This window comes from Homo sapiens, chromosome 11 (assembly GCF_000001405.40).
Source record: "Homo sapiens chromosome 11, GRCh38.p14 Primary Assembly".
Classification (NCBI taxonomy): domain Eukaryota; kingdom Metazoa; phylum Chordata; class Mammalia; order Primates; family Hominidae; genus Homo; species Homo sapiens.
The window spans coordinates 94,847,387-94,866,626 of NC_000011.10; the positions used below are offsets into that span (position 1 = coordinate 94,847,387).

A 19,240-nucleotide genomic window follows, 5' to 3' on the forward strand; every position below is an offset into this window, starting at 1 on the left:
GTGGACACTGAACTTGGCACATAATAGAGACTCACTCATTCATTCAACAATATTTTTGAGCCAGATGCTCTTATTGGCCCAGGGAATCAATAATAACCAAACAAAGTCCTTTATACTTTATAAGCATCATCGTCATCAACAGCATCATTGTAATAACACTGTGATGTAGATGTTACCATTGCCATTTGATAGTTGAGGGAGCTGAGGCACAGAGAGGTTAAATATCTCACCTGAGGCCTCATAATTGTAAAGTAGTGAGCCTAGGATTTGAATCCAGGTCTTTCTCATGCTAAAAATCCTTTGTTTAGCTACAATATGATACTGCTTATCAAGCAAATAGCAAATGCTGAGATCATGTATATATGCGGTGGGGGGGTGTTGGAGGGGGTGGGGTGTTTGTTGACTCAGGACTATCTAAATAGCTATCATTGTGACATAGCAATCAATAATAGTGATCACTGATTTGCAGAACATGAGAAGCTTTGGTTGTGGCTTCTATTCTTGAGCTCAGACTATCATTTTATTACTTCTGGTCAACATTAGTGTATACTTGGTGGCCCTCAACAAAGAGAAGAACTTTTATGCTTAGGTTGATAACCAGGCAGAAGCTCTGAGATCCTGTGGTTCATCTCCAGGATGCCTGCTTAGTAATACCTGAGTGCCCTCCAGAGCTTGGAGAAGGCCAGCAGCCACTATGCCCATTGAGATGTTGTCCAAACCTAGGGTTAGGTGGTCAAATATCAGTGACTTTGCACAGAAAGAGTGAGGTGCTTTGATCCCTTCAGGGCTGTGGATGGGGACGGGCAGCGCTAGTGGGCTGCTACTGACCCCTTAGTTTAGGTCTCTCACATGCCTGTTGTTGCTGAGGTCTCACATGCCCGTGGATTGGGAAGGAAGTTTCAGAGGCACCATTTCAAATGCTGCAGAAAGGAAGAAGGGGCAGTGCAGTGGGTCACTGCAGTGGGGCATAAAGAGCCCAGAAGTAGTGCTGTGCTCTGAGTCAGGATCTTGGTGGCCTCATCTTGTTTTCAGGGATGCCATTGTTTCTAGGAAGCACAGCCACCACTTAGCTTTACAAGTCAGCTCCTTCAGTCTATCGATTCAGAAGCTGTTCCATTGCCCTCTGATCCCATCGACATAATTCGACAATGCAAGGGTTGTGCAGTCAAGAAGGAAGGACATTGTACTGGGACATCAGGAAGACCAGATTCTGGCCCTGTCTCTGTCCCCACTGGCTGGGAGACCCTGGACAAGTGCCTTTGTTCCTCAGGGCTTTCCTCTTCTCAGCAATGAAGCAAAAGAGGGAGAACTGGATGTTGATGTTTCCTGTGATCCTTTCTGGCTCTAAAGTTGTGAGTTTATCTGATATTTGCAGCCTTACAGTGTCATTTTAATTTCCATGCCCTGTATTTAAAACCACATTTTTCTGCCCTGTTAGTGTGCTGCATTCTTTCTATTACTTCAGAACACATAGTGCTGGTCCTAAATAATTATTCGTTAAATTAACGAATGAATATAGACAGAAATATGAATGAATGCAAACACTGTTAACCACTGGTTAACCACTGATGTCGCTTCCAGACTTGGGTTCTCTATGGTTCAGTGTGGGTTGCTAGGATTGAGATAGCCAGTATGGAACATTGAAATGGTGTGGGCACAGAGAAATCCATTTCTAACTACTATTGTTGCTGCTACTATTGTCATTCTATGCCTCATTTTCTATAAATATGGAGTAGTATGCATACGGTTTTGTAACTACCTGTTTTCAACAAGGAGACTTTTTTTCATGTCACTAGTATTCTCTTATTTAATTTTAATGGATGCATCCTATCAGAGAGTTTCTAGAAGTTTATTTGGCCAATCTCTTACGTACTGTTTGTTCAATTTTCCATATTATAAGCAATGTATCTAAATAGTCTTATTTTTAAAAAACAGCATATTGCTTTTGCAACATGAAAAGTATTTTCAATAAGAAATGCTCATTCCATGACACTATCGACGCTGCCTGCTTAAACTACAACAGTAGAGCAGTCTGTATAGGACGATGGGTAACTAAGAGCATACCAGCCTTGGCTTCCCATATGCAAAGAGAGGCAGTGATCGCCATCATTACATCACCATTGAATGAGAGAAAAGCAGTTTTCCTAAATCTAAAGCCTTGTCCCTTTCCCCTTTTTAGCAGGAAAAGGGGAAATTGTGGGGCCAGGTCATATGGAAAGAGGATCTACCTGGAGATTGGAGGCCTGAGCTTGAAGCTCCCCTCTGCTGTCTAGCCTCAGGCAAAGAGCTTACCTCTCTGGACCTTGGTTTATTTTTCTATGAATGAGAATATTAATATTATTATTAATATTACCCACCCTTTCATCACAGATTTGGAAAATGGAAGCAGGGAATGTTGTAAGCATAAAATGTAATAGTAGATACAAGATTGATTTGAAGTATGAAAGTCAATGTTGTAGAGAAGTGAGTTATCGAGAATATAGGGTCACTGGTTCTTTGTGTACTGTTCACAAGTGTGGCCTGGAATGTATCCACTGTTGACCGTGGTTTTTGAGAAAACCATTACCTTCCATACCACCACTATGAAAAGGGAGCAGAAACAGCAATTCAGTCCTCCATTATTTGCATGCTTTTTTATTTTTAATCCTTGCCAGATGTCGACTGGCCGTGAGCCCAGAGGGTGTGCAATTTCTGATAGAGGTAGTTTTGTTCGTGTTTCCCTTCTAGACAAAGAATTCTTGAAGGAAAAGGAGAAATTAGAAATGGAGTTAGCAGCAGTGCGGACTGCAAGTGAGGACCATCGGAGACACATCGAGATCCTGGACCAGGCTTTGAGCAACGCCCAGGCCAGGGTCATCAAGCTGGAAGAGGAGGTGAGACCAGGCTGTGGGGATTTGGTGGGGAAGAGGGCAAGCAGAGCCCAGAGGGCTTCCACTTTCTTTTCCTAACCCACCTACTTTAACCAGAGCCAATTCCAAGGAGTTGAGACAGGGGAGGGATATGGGAAACTTCTCAAATAAAAGTGAATAAAAACAGAGTCTATGCATTCTAGAGCCAGGCAAAGTATGAAAAGCACATGGGAATCCCATCAGCAAAGCACTCACACTCGGTGTGAAGCCCAGCCTACAGCCCATCGGTTGACACGTGTCCTACTCAGTCATCATGCATTGCATTTAGTAGTTTCTGATGAAATCAACCCGTTAGCTTAAGTGTTATGAGGTAGCCTTTTCCTTAAAGCCTGACTGAGGAATTAAAATGACCATTTCCGAGGTCCAAGCCAAGGAATCCAGGCTATAGATGAAGAAGAAGAAAAGGAGCAGAGGCCTAGCCAGGCAGCCAGGGGCCAGCTGCCTCACACCTTCCAGCACCCTGTGGTGGTGGCGGCAGGTGCCTCTGTGTTACACAGGCTTACCTGAGCAGGATCCGTTCCAGGAAGTAGAAGCCCAAAGTCTATAAGAGTCTTAACTGAGAAAGTCTGCCTGAAGTGCTTAGCTTGTTGCTGGGCACAAAGGAAACAGTATTGTTACTAACCCAACTGTTGTTGAATTTAAAAAAACTGTCTCTTCAGAAAACCTCCCCCGATGCTAAGTAACAGGGATGTTTCATCAGATTTCAAACACAAGGATAAAGCAGCTGAAGAGGAAGATGATGGAGTAAACGAGGGTCTTGCCCATTGGAAGCCTTTAAAACCCCATAAGTCTTGCATAGAAACTACCATTTTAATACTAGCATAAGGCTCCGGGGCAACAGCCTTCCATGTTGCCACTAAGGAACGTATTAAATATGAAAACACTTGCCACAGAAAGTGACCTCAACCCCTTAAAGACAGGAGATCTGTTATGCCTAAGGGAGGCTGGGGCTTCTCATTATTGTCATCACTGAAATGACATCTCCATCTCCATGAGTGGAGCTAAGGAAAATCATGGTTTTTAAAATCTTTTAGTTTTAATATTTCTATTAAAGTAAAAATTAGTTGTGAGCTTCTTGAAGACAAGTTATAACAACCAATATGGGTCTTTTTTTTAAATCATTATATTTATGTGAAATCTTTGGTTGGTTGAATGTAGCCTCTCCAGAATGTCTCATAGGTCTGCTTCCAGCATCACTCCTTTCTAATTAGAGTTTCCTTTAAGGGTCTTAATTCAGTTCAGATACTGAGAGCCTACTGTAATTTACCATGATGGGTAAGAGTGAACTCTAGAGCAGACAGCTGTAAATGAGAATCCTGGCTCTATGGCCTGTCAGCTGTGTGACCTTAAGCAAGTCACGTAACCTTGAAGACTTTTCTCATCTCTAATGGAGATAATAAAGGACTTTACCTCCTCTTCCTGTTGTTACTTGGAGGATTAAATGAGATACTACATATAAAGCACAATGCTTGGCATGGTAGTGTTCCAACAGTGTTGGCTGATGTAATTACTGTTACTAATCATCCTCATCGGGATATATGCCTTGCTAGAATTAAGGTTGATACAAAGGTGAAGGAGACAGATTCCTGCCTTCAAGCTTCTTGCAATTGCTTAAGGATAGTATTTATTCATTTAACAAATACTTATTGGGTGCCTACTAAATGCTGAGCGCTATTCCAGGCATTGGGTACGCCCTGTTCACTCTGCCCAGTGGAGACCAAAATAGGCAAATCTCTTGGTGCTTATATTCTAGTAGCTGCACATTCAGAAAAGTATACTCAGTGGAAGATATGGTAAGTGGTGTATGAATCACACACACAAAATATTTTGTCAGATGAGGCTGCAGGAACCTTCACTTAGTAGGTCTTCAGAAGCCAGTGGAATTGAGCAATCAAAATCACAAGGAATGAAAGGGCCAGATGAAAATCAATCCCAAGAACAGGTGTAAAAAGTCTAAAGTTGCTCTCTCCTCCTTGAAAGGTCAAAGCATCTCCATTTTATTCCAGTGGCTTCAGCTAGGACAGGATATAGGTATAACTCACAGCAATGCTGCCTGCTGAGTCAGAAAGCTCACCTAGCAGCTAAATCACTAGCATGTTCCAGCTTGCCAGTGTCATCACTGAACTTAAGATTGAATACACCCAGGTGCGGAATGACAGGAAATAGCATCTGGTGTCTTCTCACCCAGGACCAAATCAAGTTGATGCCTAAGCCTGATTTTTGGCACTAGCCAGTTCTCAGAATGCTGTCAGTATGCCCAGGATTTATGAACATGGGCCAAACTCCTAATTGGAAGAAAACAAAGTGTGAGAGTAAGAGTTGGAAGTTGTTGGTCATAATTCTAAATCCATAGCTGATGTGACATTTCCATAAATTATTTTAACCTTAATTTCCATCTCCTCAGTTATTGTGTTGTTGAATATTCACTGTGCACTTCCCATCTCTTCAAGGCCCCAACTACCTATCTATAAAGGACTCTGAAATCTTTAGGACAAAGTTACTCCATAGATAACTGTAATAAGAAAAATTTTTTATTTATGCACACATACATAAATGGGTACACATACATATATAAATACATACCTAATTTCTCTATTATAAATGTAATTTATGCTTATAGAAAACTTGAAAAAATATAGAAAAGAATAAAGAATTGCCATTCTGTCATATAGATAAGCATGCTTAATGCTAAGTATTTCATTCCTGCCTTTTTTTCATGGATAGACATTGTTATGATAATGTTGTATATAATTTTTGATTCTGGATTTTTCACTTGACATTATAGAATAAGCATTTCTTCATGATGTCAAAAACTCTTTTTTTAATTCTATCTATTTTATGCTATTTTTAGTTTTACTTTAAGTTCCAGGATACAAGTGCAGAACGTGTAGATTTGTTACATAGGTCTACATGTGCCATGGTGGTTTGCTGCACCTACCAACCCATCATCCAGGTTTTAAGCCCCACATGTATTAGCTATTTGTCCTAATCCTCTCCCTCCCCTCACCCCCGGCCCCCAACTTGCCCTGGTATGTTTTGTTCCCCTCCCTGTGCCTATATGTTCTCATTGTTCAGCTCCCACTTACGAGTGAGAACATGTGGTGTTTAGTTTTCTGTTCCTGTGTTAGTTTGCTGAGAATGATGGCTTCCAGCTTCATCCATGTCCCTACAGAGGACGTGATCTCATTCCTTTTTATGGCTGCATAGTATTCCATGGTGTATATGTACCACATTGTCTTGGACATTTGGGTTGCTTCCATGTCTTTGCTATTGTAAATAGTCCTGCAATAAACATACGTGCAAAAACTCTTTATTTACCTCACTTCCAATGCCTGAAAATGCAGAAATTATTAAGCAATAAATGAGTATTGAGCTCAAAGCTGCACAAATTACCAAAAGCAGGTACCCCAGTAGAGTCTTCAATTTCATACATCCTAGCCATTGTAGGTATAACTGGCAGTCTATGTGTAAATCTTTTCTGTTCCAGTGCACTTGAAGGATAGGAGTAGGGCGGTGGGAGGTACGTGCACCTGTAGTTTAAATAGGATCTCCAGGTAATCTGACCCCACCTCCTCCACCCCAGCTTTGAGAATCAGTGGTCTAAATTCTGTGCTCTTTTTTACTCTTCTCCACTCAGTTACGAGAGAAGCAAGCATATGTTGAGAAAGTTGAGAAGCTGCAGCAGGCCCTGACCCAGCTGCAGTCTGCATGTGAGAAGCGAGAACAGATGGAGCGGAGACTGCGGACTTGGCTGGAGAGAGAGCTGGATGCACTGAGAACCCAGCAGGTAAGGAACTGGGCATGGACTGGTGAAAGAATTAGATATGTTCACTCAGCAAACGTATGGATGTTCTACCATGGGCCAGATCCTGCACCTTGCTCCCAGGATTCAGAGGGAAACAAGAACTCCCTGTCCTCAGTGAACCCATACAACAACCAGGAGAGAAGGCGAGCAGTCCGCTCACTGGAGTGACAGATGTCCTCACAGAGAGAAAGTGGTCGCCAGCTTGGGGCTGGGGAGAGCGGAATGCAGCATTAGATGACTTCAGAGAGGAAGACATTTGAGCTGGACATTGACAGATGAGTTTTTGGGCATTCAAGGGCAAGAACATCATAGGTAGAGGGAGAATATGGTAAAGGACAGGGCCCTGAAACGACATAGCACGTCCAGGGTAGCAGGGTGCAGGTAGCTAGGGGAAAGTGCCCAGTGCAGTGGCTGGTGAGGAGACTAAGGCCACTTGTGGAGGACATTTGGTCAAGCTGAGATACTGGGCTTTTTCTTATAGTCAACAGAGTACCAACAACTGGGAAGTTTTTAAGCTGGAGAGAAACATGATGCAAGAGATCAGGGAGAGAGCCCTCTGATGTCAGAGGACCATCCAGAGGGTGGATGTTAAAGTTGCAGAGGCCAGCCTGAAGGTTGTCGGTGCAGCCTAGGGTGTAGTGACAGTGAGAACCCATGGAGGAGTTGAAGGGAAGAGCCAATAAGGGGGTGACATTAGTAGCCCATGATGATCAGTGAGTTTTCAGAAGTAAAGGAGAGGAAGGGATGTAAGACCATCCCTAGAAAATAATGTTGGCCATAATTCCCTATTCCTGCTGCCTGTCCTTCTCTGCTGGTAACAACTGAGCATGTAACTCAGCTATGAGTAAGCACAGAGTGAAAAGCCCAGCCTGGGGTTCACCTGCACCACGGCAAGCAGGAAGAAGACTGGTCAAAGGCTCCTGGCCCCAGATGAGCCTGTCCACCATCACCCAGCATGATGAGCAGAGGCCTTTATGTAGCTGGTGAAGGGTGTGTTCTAAATTGGGATACCAGGGAAATGCAAGGCAGGGCCCCATGGAATTATCTACTGGATAGGGCATAGTGGTTGTGGTTGAAACACTTGAAAACACTTGAGCGCATGCACTCAGGCCAGCTCAGCCCTCTCACAGGGCAGGCCCATGCAGTTCCCTCTGGGTATGTGCATTTGGCTGGAGAAGGAGGTGTTAGTGAGATTGCCCAGAAAAGTAAGAAACCCACCTCCGCCTCCCACTGTCTTGGCTTGGTGGATAGCTCGTAAGAAAAGGCAGGTCTGTCTGTGGACTTCTAATACTGATAAACTGTGCCACATACTTTGGCACAGAGTTACACCGTTCAGCTGTTCTCTGTCACTCAGTTGCTGAGATCTTCGCTTCCCCATCTGGGGACAGGGGTTCTCCCTGGTTCCAGGTACAGCACTGGCCCACAGTAGACACTGATTAGTCTTTCTTTGGCTAACCAAATGGGCACATCTCGGTTCTTAGAGCACATAAAGAATGTTCCTTCCTGGTTAATATGCCGTCCACACCCTAAAGTTAGATTACTTCTCCTTGGCTCTTCTGAGTGCTGTGAAACCAGACTCACCTCCGTTATCCTTGTTGTTTATCAAGAAGAAATAAAATGTTAGAATTATTTGAAAAATATCTTAATTGCCACAGAGGATAGTTGGCTGTATGCACACTCAGACCCATGCACGCTCACCCACACAGTTTCCTCAGGCAGGCAAAAACAACATTCCTGCTGTGCATGAAGGCTGCTGACAGGCTGAGGAGTGCCAGTAGGGGACAGAAATTTCAGAATTGAGGCTCTCCCGGGAAATTACTCTGCTTTCATTTTGGATTTGTGTTCGGGAGCTGATGGCAGACCCCCAGCTGTGTATGGCTGACATGAGACCGAAGAGGAGGAGACAGTCTCTAAACAGAATTGTGATGCTCAGCATCTCTTTAAAAATAACATTACAGTTTGTTGTTGTTGTTGTTGTTTTAATGAGAGCATTAATCTGCCTCCTATGATATGAAATACATTCAGGGATTATGTCCCTGTTGCTCTTGATACTCATTAAAAAGATAAGTAGAGGTTGAGTATCCCTTATCTGAAATGCTTGGGACCAGAAGTGTTTTAGATTTTGTATTTTCAGGTTTAGGATGCTCAATCTTATTATTTTTTTTTCCTGTAATATTTCTTTATTTTCTAATGTTCCCAGTAAGCATACATTATCTTATAACCAAAAAAAGGTTAAAATGTTATTACAAAAAAATCCACTGGAAACATCTTGAGTTTTTTACTGGTTCCATGTGGCAGATACTGTGTAAAGGGCAAAGTGTATCTAAACTCATTTTTGGGGCCTGTGGGCTGGTCTGGGGGGCAGCTCTGCTGGTCTCACCAGAGATGACTCGGAATCCACTTGAGAACATGGGGTCATCTGAGGAACTCAGCCTGTCCGGGAAAGGGGATCCAGGGCCTCTCTGATCCCCTCCTCCTCATTCACCCTCACGCAACTCATGAATATGCCTGCCAGTTCTTGGGCAGCAGCCTCGGGAAAGACTTCTGCCGTCCACACCACACCCTGTTCCTTCATCCCTGTGTCCAAGGCAGTTATCTGACAGCTTTAGAAAGCATGCTGGGGTCACACTGTCACAAAGCTCCTGGTCATCTCCACCCTCAACAGAACAACAGACCAACCGCATGGACTCACCACTTCCCATAGGGCATGATTCTGAAGAGACTTTTGAGAGCACAGCTTAGAGTTCTTGTTGAATCAACAGCCCAGACAAGGGCTCTGCCCTTTGACTTATGCCGGGACACAGCTGAGCCCATCTACTTGGCCCCCTCTAACAACACAGAGCCCTTGAGCAGCTCCAATTATTTCAATTATTTCTTCTGGACCTTTCCAGAAGGGCTGGTACGCTGAGGATGAGCAGAGAGGCATGGAATCGTGTGTTGATTCTGAGCGTGGGCCCCAGGGTTAAACCAGCCACGGTTGAATCCTGCCTCCCACCAGAAAAGTAGCCTAGAGTAAGTCATCTTTCTGAGCCTCAACTTCCTTGTCTATAAAGTGAGGCAAATAAATTATACTTACCTCACACTTGTAACTACAAATAAAATCTGAACAAAGTACTTTTTGGAATGCCTTGCACTTAGCAACTGATTAAAAACAAATCACTCTCACTGCTGTTCTCATTGCCATCATTACCTTCAGAATCATTTGAAGTTTTAGGGCATTCGTAGGTACCCTCTCCCAAATTCCACCCTTATCCCGGATTTTCTAGCCTCATTGAAAACAAGGTCAACAGAAGTGTGGCTTATTGAAGGGGGGTGGAGAGAGAAAGATAGGTTGGGACAATAGGACTAGCAGAAAGAAAAGCTCTTAATCAACAGTTCCTGTTTTATAAGTAATTGCCCCTCTACCATGGGAGGTCAAATAGTACTTCAGCATCATTAGAAACTGGGAGGGAAGTGAAAGAGAAAAAAGATAAAAGAGAGAGGGGAATTTGCATTTTTAAGAACTCACAATTTTATCACTTTTACAAAGAGCTCAAATTAATTTTCGTGTCTTACTTCCACAGTAGTCCTATGAGAAAGAAGAGAGAAGGTTCTTGAAGAATGTTCTTTGAAAGGAAAATGAGGCACAGGGAAGTTAAAGGTCATGTAGCTAATGAGGACATTCCTCCCATGTGAACACACTGAGGGTGAAGACTTAATCTGTAGTGTTCACTGTTGCAACCCTGGTACATGGTACATGCTCAGTCAATACTTGTCGTCTAGATGGCTGAATGGGCGGCAGTAGCTGGCACACCTGACCATCAATCTGTTTTTCTCGGTAGCACACTTACCCATTAGACCATGCTAGCTCTGTACCCTTGAATGTTGACATTCATGCATTTATGTAAATAACTCTTAATGACCTGAATTAGGGGGGGCTATGAAGAGTTGTCATGATCTCACGTGAGGTTAAGAGGATTCTGCAAAAATAAGCCAGCTGAGATGGTAACAAAAGGGATTTAGATAGAAACTGACAAGCATAGATGGCAGCTTAGTGAATATGGGAGACTTTTCTTGGAAAGTTTCTAAAAATAAGGGAGCGTCTCATCTCGCTGGACTGGTTCATTTGTTCTCCTGCCTGAGGCTAGGTGCCTGGCCAGATGGAGTCAGTGCCCTTTATGCACAGGTCAGGTGAGGACAGGTATGCCCTTCTGCTCTGTTCCTACTTATAATGTTGGTCACTGGCAAGATAACACTTCCTAGAATAATTTATATTTGTAGCTTTAAAAAACTGAATAAAAACAAAATTTGGTTTACAAAAAACCCATACACCCATTTCTTTTTTCCTCTCTGATAGGATTAGTTTCCGTCAGTACAGCTTGAATGCCCAGCTGTTGCTCTGGGTAATTCCCCAGTCCTTTTCTTAATCTAGGGGATTATGTGGTTCTGGGTAAAGCATTCATGTGCCTCTCACCTTGCACCCAGCTCTGCATTTAAAATTTGCAACCACTGGAAAACAGGAGGGGAATGGGTACCCCAGGACATAGACTAACTGGGATGAAATCATTCTCCCTGGAGTACTAAGGAGCCTGGTCCACACTCTGACTGGGCCCCTAACCCTGAGACTCCAAGATAACTTATCTCTGCTGCTGCTCTGAAGGCAGAACTTTCTCAGAGCGCCATCTTCTTCTGTGTCATGCTCTTTAGAGGAAATAGTGTACCTAATTAAAGGAAAAAGATTCTGAAGTATGAACATCCTCAGTTTGTGAGCAATCCAGAAAATGGCTTTATTTTCTCTTATTGACACAGATGAAAAGGCCGAAAAATGAGCTTGCCTTATGCTAGAGGTCTTCTGCTTTCATATGCATTATCTAGTTTGATTCTCATTCTCAGGCCTCTGAGTGGGGCAGGTGTGAATACCTCCTTTCCCAGCATTGCAGCTAGGGAGGATGCAATTTGGGGCATCTCCCACTTCCTTTGCCTTCCATTTCCCCCACCAGCCTTAGCGGAAACAAACAACTGGAATCACTTTGTGGAATTCTGGAGAAAGTACCCTAGACCAGGAGGCCAAGACTTAATTCCTATTCTTGCTTTTGGTGTAATTAACTGCATGCCATTAGACAAGCCACTTCTTGTCATGCAAAGACCTTGACCTGTGGAGATAGACCCAGGTTTGAATCCTGACCCTACTACTGATAAGCTGAGAGACATTGCATCATTAATTTAATCCATCAGAAACTTCATTTCTCATCTGTAAAACTGGGATAATATTGTCGTTTTGCAGAGCGCCATGAGAATTAACTACAACAGAGGAATTTGGAGGTGAAGTAGCATGGTGTGTGAATTGCTGCAGGATCTGGGGAACCTCATGTGTTCTGTATGGGCAGTTGTGTAGACAGCATTGATGTGGTTTTGAGCATCAAGATTTTTTTTCTACTCCTTCAGAAACATGGAAATGGCCAGCCAGCCAACATGCCGGAATACAATGCCCCAGCCCTCCTGGAACTTGTGCGGGAGAAGGAGGAGCGGATCCTGGCCCTGGAGGCCGACATGACAAAGTGGGAGCAGAAGTACCTGGAGGAGAGCACCATCCGACACTTTGCCATGAATGCCGCAGCCACTGCAGCAGCTGAGAGGTGAGACCAGTGGAACTCTGGTGGTCATAAAAGCACAGTTAAAAAAATCAAAACAAAACAAACAGGCTATCCAGAGAGGTCCAAGGCCCATCCTAGGGAGTGAAGTCAGCTAAAAATTATTTTTAAGTAGTTACAGTGCTAGTTGGAGAGCAAAGTGGTATAACATTTCTAGAGGATGATTTGGCAACATATATCTTTCCTTTGAGTCCACAATTCAAGTTCTAGATATTTATCTTAAAAAAATCATAGACATGCCAGAAGGTGAATATCTAAAGAGTTAATCTCAGTGTTGTTGAAAATATCAATACATTTAACATAGCCTAGATTTCAACAAGAGGAGGTTCATTTAATAATTTAAAGTACATAACACAGTGGAATACTGTGCAATCACCAAGAATGATGTTGTGAAAGTATATTTAAGGCACTTTTTAATGCTGCGTTTATATCATGGGCCAAACTAGAAGAATAGATAATCCCCATAGCAGCCCTGAGGGCAGGTATATTATTATCATCTTCATTTTACAAGCAAAGAAAATGAGGCTTAGAGAGGTACAGTGGTTGATTCCTAATCACAATGGTAGTGAGTGATGGGGCTGTGTGTCAAATGGAGATCTGCCTGGCTTGAAAACATTTCATTTAGTTTGAAATTCTTTTCTGCTGCTGTCAGTTTTTACCTCTGTTGCCTTACCTTCTTTTTGTAGGTGTATGGCTTATTCTGTCTTTATAAACTAGCTCAAAGTGTGCAGTAATTCACAAAAAAAGCTCCCAAATGTTCTGTTAAAACATACTGTTGTCAGAGTGAGCAAGGCACTCTTGACCTTTGGCCACTGGATCTCAGCTGCATGCAAAGTCGCTGCACACACGTGGGGTGGCTGTGCAGGGGACCCATCCAGCCCCTCACTGCCTCCCACCCAGTTTGCTTTCTGCCCATAAGTTATATTGGACATTTAACTTAAAGTTGTTTGGAATTCACAATTCAGGATAAATTTATGTGGAAAGGATCCTCAAATTTCAAAGGAGCACCCAGAAAATGGGACTTCTTAATAAATAAGGGCTATGGTACTATTTGGATGACAGGACATGAACCGAGAGAGGAGTAAAAGCCACATTGCCTTGGGATGGGTTACTATATTTTTAATGACTACGAGAAGGCCTGTTGGGGTGCAGAGGGGATACTCTTGAAGTTATTCACGGACTCTCAGGCTCATTATCGACGTAGGGGAGAATCCCCAGTGGTATGCTCAGATGTTAGCACCAGGAATTGGAGAAAGCATTGCCACCATTCGGGCGTTGGTGTCTGCAGTGGGTGCCACAGCACACTTGCACCGAGAAAGACCTACAGACCCATGTGGAAAATGACCGTTTGGGAATCATTTTTCTGTGCTTCCACGTTGTTTATGTGGGTCTACACTTTGATGGGAAGCAGCCCGCAGTATCCATGAGAGTGAGGCTTTGGGAGTGGGGATAGACACTTGAGATGGTGCGGTGAAGTTCCGGGGTCCTGGGTTGAGAGTTGGAGGGAAGTTGCAGCCTCCAGTTCAGTCCCTGCAGTATATGGATGGGCACAGGGAAGCCTTTTGAAACATTGGTTGATTTTTACATAATTGAAATGGTTTTTTTTTCAGCTTTTTGTTTTCTAAGCTAATAACTAAATTTCCTCTCTATTCCGAGGAAGAGAACAGGTCATCATAAAGTCACAGAGGGACCTGGTCTTCTTGGACATATGTGGTCTAGTGCACTGCTGTCCACGGTTGCCCTGGGAGTTTCCTTCCTCCCTGCAATTTTAATGGAAAGAATGCTTTAATGGAAAGAACGTTGCACAGGGAGGCAGGACACCTGCGCTCAGGGCTTCTCCCTCCCTTCCTGACTGTGCGTGTGTGATCTGGGACAAGCCCTTCTGAGTGTCGCTTACATCACATGTGAAATATAAATGATGAGAGCAGGGAACCTGACCACATTGCTTTGGCTGAGGACACTAAAGCCCCAGTAGCAGTGTAAATGTGTGACCTTGGAGGAATGACACAGGGGCTTCCACGTGTCATTGTTGTTTCAGCGTCTGTGGGTTTATCACGTTAGATGTCTGTTTGGGATCCTGGGCCCTGAGGGTATGAATGGGACTAGAAAGTAAAATTCAGAAGTCGGGAAATGAATGAGTCCAAAGCATACACCCTGTAGTGGGCAGAGGAGGGAGGGTAGGGAGCGAGGAGAACCAGACCCAGTCACAATCACCCACTCACAGGATTCTAGGCCCAGCCTTGTTCTTATCCTCCGTGCAAGGGGAAATGACTCTTACCCCAGAGAACAGGAGTTCTGTGGGATTTACCCAGTCCCACTGTTCCCCTTCTCTGCCTTATTTGGAGTCTTGGATGGGCAGAGGGAGCCCCTTTCCATCCCCGTCACCCCTCCTTCTTTGCTTTTACACATATTTATTGAGCATCTAATAATTCTGTGAGCAACTACCCTCCCCATTACAGACTACCCCTTCTGGGTGGGGGAATAGGTTCAGAGAACCTCAGATAGCTCCAATCTTAATGTTCTTTTCAAAGAAAACCTCTGTCATTTCAGAATTGCTTTTTTCTTTTCAGTAAGAGAAAAAAGGAAAATGAAACATTTTTGAGAAAGGTACACATTTTGAGCTCTTATTGACTAGGTGCTAAATGGCCACAGTCAAATTGGTAAAAATGACTATTTCCAGCCATTAGTTTTGTGACTTTTCAACCACAGATGCATGCTTTATATTTATAATCAATGATTTTTAAACAAAGAAAATAACTTCTGTAAACCAACTGGTTTTCCCATCTTTATGCATCTTGATGGTGTTGGTCAGAATTTTTAGAGAGTCAGCTTATCTTTTATGTGTGCAGAAGGTTTTGAAAATTTTTAAAAATTTCAAAGCAATGTAATATTTCTTTCAGAGTTTTATATATTTACTATCTAAGTTGCTTTCCTCTAATTGTGTTTGCTCTCCTTACTTGGCAATGTAAACATGAATTTTCAGATTTGTTTCCAGCTCCATGTAAAGTCTCCAAAAGTAAATTTGTTGAAAATGTTTCTAGCCACTAATTTCTATATTGATGATTTTGTGCACCATAGTGTGAATTTATAATTTTGCAAATATGTTTAAAGCATTTTGTTTGCTTTCTACATCATTTGGCCTTTAGTGTATTTTCAATGACACTTTGCACTTTTCTGAGCCACATTCTCACATATGCCCTCTGGTTTGTTTTTATCTTTACTCATCTTTGCTGAGACCTTCTTCTTAAAGACATATGAAACTTGCAGGAGTATAGAGCGATGGTTAGGGGCATGGACTTTGGAGTCATAAATACCTGAGTTAGAATCCATTTTCACTATTCACTAACTGAGTATTCTTGGAAATGTCACCTAACCCTGGTTTCTTCATCTAGAAATTGAGGATAATAATACCTTGTGCACAAGTTGTGAGAACTAAATGAGAGACCATGTGTACCGTGCCCTACCCAGTCCCTGTATGAAGTAAATGCTCATTAATGTTGATAGCTGTCATTAAAGGGGCCTCTATTTTTCTGTTTTGGGCTATTCTGTAAAAAAAAAAAAAAAAGCTTTAAAGTTTTCAGGCGGGGCGCGGTGGCTCACGTCTGTAATCCCAGCACTCTGGGAGGCTGAGGCGGGTGAATCACCTGAGGTCAGGAGTTTGAGACCAGCCTGACCAACGTGGTGAAACACCATTTCTACTAAAAATACAAAATTAGCCAGATGTGGTGACGCATGTCTGTAATCCCAGCTACTTGGAAGGCTGAGACAAGAGAATCGCTTGAACTCAGGAGGTGGAGGTTGCAGTGAGCTGAGATCACGCCACTGCACTCCAGTCTGGGCAACAAGAATGAAACTCCATCTCAAAAAAAAAAAAGTTTTTCAGTATGATTGTACATTGGAATATGAAGTTAAAAGATGTGAAATACTTGGCTACATCATGTCTTACTAATTAAATACTCATGTAGTCAGAGCCATTATTGTGCCTTTCATCTTGAGCTATATCACTTAGATGATGCAGTGATCTTATTTTTACTAATCATTGTTAGTTAGTAGTAATTAAATTGTCAAAACCAGTGGCAGGAATAGTTATCTGTGACTGGTTGTTTATAGTCAGACAGATGCTTGCAGTGAAACTGCTTCTTGATCTTCTCGTGTCTGCCCTTGCCCTCACTGCACCCACCTCACCTGAACTTGTCAAGGACAGTGTCTGCCTTCTTCTTTCTGTCCTGGACCCTGGCATGCCTATTACATTGTCCTGACCTGCATCCCAGGCAGGGCCCATAAAACAAGAAGTGAGACAGAATACAACATGAAGGAAGACTTCAGCTTGGAGCCTCACTCTCTGAGAGGACCAGTCTCAGTTTTAAGTATTTACTGAGCCCCCATTTTACTGTAAAATACTGAAGTAGGCATTCTATGCTGTATGGATGATAAACAGAAATAAAACCTAAACTCTGATTGGAAAAGTGAGGTATAGGACAAGCATGAAAAAGTACAAGCATGGAAACACCAACAAATACAATAATAATAATAATAATAATAATAATAGTGTCCATAAGTCAGTAGATTAAATCTCTAGGTGCCCATTTTACATATTCATAACATGCCATGTAGCTACATACATAATGTAGTCAGAAGGGGGAGGGGACTTGATTTTTGAATTTTATTTTGTTTTCCTTAGATGCTGCTTAATTCTATCTAGTTAAGGAAGAGAATTGGACAGAATTCAGGAGAGGAAAAGTGGGTGAAGGAGTTTGTGGAGTTTTAGCACGGCACCCTGTGATCACCTCTCCACAAGCATTTACACCTTTCTCTGTATGGGCATCAGATGAGATTGATAACTGAGCTGGGGAAATTGGGAGGGAAAGGCTTCATGAGCCAATGCGAGATGCAGAGCTGATCTCTGTTCCAGCATGAACACCAGCCTCTCCATTCTGTGTCTGTTTGCATTGAGACAAAGCAAGAAGGTTTCCTATGATCAAACGCATATCCTTGTGTTGCCAGGGACACCACGATCATCAACCACTCACGGAATGGCAGCTACGGAGAGAGCTCGCTGGAGGCCCACATCTGGCAAGAGGAGGAGGAGGTGGTGCAGGCCAACAGAAGGTGTCAGGACATGGAATACACGTAAGGGACGACTATGTGTGACGTGTGGGGCCCGCTGCATTCACACTCCAGGCCTTCCAGAACAGATTGCTTCTCTGTCCTGTTCTGAAAGGCTGTGAGCATGAGGTCTCCAAAAACTCTCCTCCCCCATGCTGTGCCATGGAGAGAAGGAAAAGGTTCCAACCTAAGCACGTGGTTCCACTCAGCAATGGATCTGGTGCCGGAGTTCTCTGGGGGAAATTGCGTGTCACCTGCCGGTTTTAAGATGCAGGCTGAGTCTAGTGACAGAAGAATTTAGATGTCTGTGTTATTTCTTGGTGTCTATCTCTATGACATTATGAGCTGAAAGGGGGAAACATTATATCCCAAAGATTCAGAGTTTTTGAGCCAGAATTTATATATTCCAGTCCAAAATAAAGAACATATTTAGCTAATGCACTCTTCTGATGGGCTACACAAAATTTCCAGCAGACTTTTTGACATAATAAAACTAGCCTGTCCCCCTTCACTACCTAAGGGCTTGTGGAACCCTGGGAGCCCTAGGCCTCTTATTTTGCAGATGTGAAAATAGGGCTGAGTAGTTGAGCCATTGATAGATAGGCTCAGTGAGTTACTATCAAAGTTGTGAAAATAACTCAGCATTCTTCCAGAAAAATCATCTTCTACCAGAGAACCTGTTCATCTTGGTTCTTTTTTCTTAGAAAATAGAGAAATTGACTTTAGCTGAAAGCTCACCCTGTTTGAGGCTTTAGAGTTTTTATGCTTCCCTATCCCCTACCTACCCCCGGCCCCCACCGCCAATGCTAGACCCTCTAAATATGGTCCCCAGCCGACTTCGGTCCAGGAATGTGGCCACGGTCATTCTAACTGTACCTCGCTGAAGTCCCAGTCTCCCAAGGTGCCAGAGAAGGTGTACTCTTTTGACATATGACAAAAGACCTGTCTTAACAATTTGGAGATTATCAACATTTGAAGACTCGTACTGTGCTTCATCCTGTATCCCTAAATTACAATTAAAGTCTTTGGGACAGCCTGAGATAAATGTTTCAAGTTTTTCTAGCCAAGTGGCTTTTTATGGAGACTGTTTTGTTTTGTTTTACAGTATTAAAAATCTCCATGCCAAAATCATAGAGAAAGATGCTATGATTAAGGTCCTGCAGCAGCGATCTCGTAAAGATGCCGGGAAGACAGACTCCTCCAGCCTACGTCCTGCCCGCTCCGTTCCATCCATAGCAGCAGCTACTGGGACACACTCTCGCCAGACCTCTCTTACCAGCAGCCAGCTGGCTGAGGAAAAGAAGGAAGAGAAGACCTGGAAGGGGAGCATAGGTGAGCCCCACACCTCTGTCAGACCATGATTGGAAAAGCAAGACCAGACAGCTTCTCTGCCACTCATGGGACACGGAAATGTCCCTGAATAGTTCCTGGTCTCAGTTTACTCATCTGTGAAGTGGGGAGGGAAATCAGTCATACTTCAGTTATAGATATGTGGAAGCATTGTGTAAATTCTAAAGACTGCACCACTGGAGTAGCTCTTAGCCATGGGTTGACTCAGATCAGAATTATCTATTATTGTTGTAAGTTGAGGTGACCCTTATAACACAAAAGGCTCTCATAGAAAAGCCTAGAGACATCACGCCTCTGAACTTGGCTCTGCTCTAGACCAGTTGTATGACGGCTCCACCTCTGCTTCCACGTCTGGAAAGGGAGGACAGTGTCTGCCTGCTTTACCCCATGGGGAGTGGGAGGGAATAATGGGATAATGGGGGGAGGAGAGTGTCTGCCTG

General features: G+C 43.3%; 1 protein-coding gene across 11 annotated transcripts in view; it reads left to right on the forward strand.

Moving 5' to 3' along the window:
* AMOTL1 (angiomotin like 1) overlaps nt 1-19,240 on the forward strand; it is a 170,289-nt gene that overhangs the window by 140,927 nt on the left and 10,122 nt on the right. For 7 of the 11 annotated variants that reach the window (XM_005273798.5, XM_011542626.3, NM_130847.3 and 4 more), the window contains 5 exons: nt 2,728-2,873; nt 6,547-6,696; nt 12,139-12,329; nt 17,349-17,474; nt 18,556-18,782. In XM_005273798.5, coding sequence (XP_005273855.1) covers nt 2,728-2,873; nt 6,547-6,696; nt 12,139-12,329; nt 17,349-17,474; nt 18,556-18,782 — 840 coding nt within the window. Of the gene's footprint in view, nt 1-2,727; nt 2,874-6,546; nt 6,697-10,277; nt 10,355-12,138; nt 12,330-17,348; nt 17,475-18,555; nt 18,783-19,240 lie in introns of those variants that run through there. The other 4 variants (XM_006718772.4, XM_047426452.1, XM_047426451.1 and 1 more) reach the window with 1 other exon arrangement.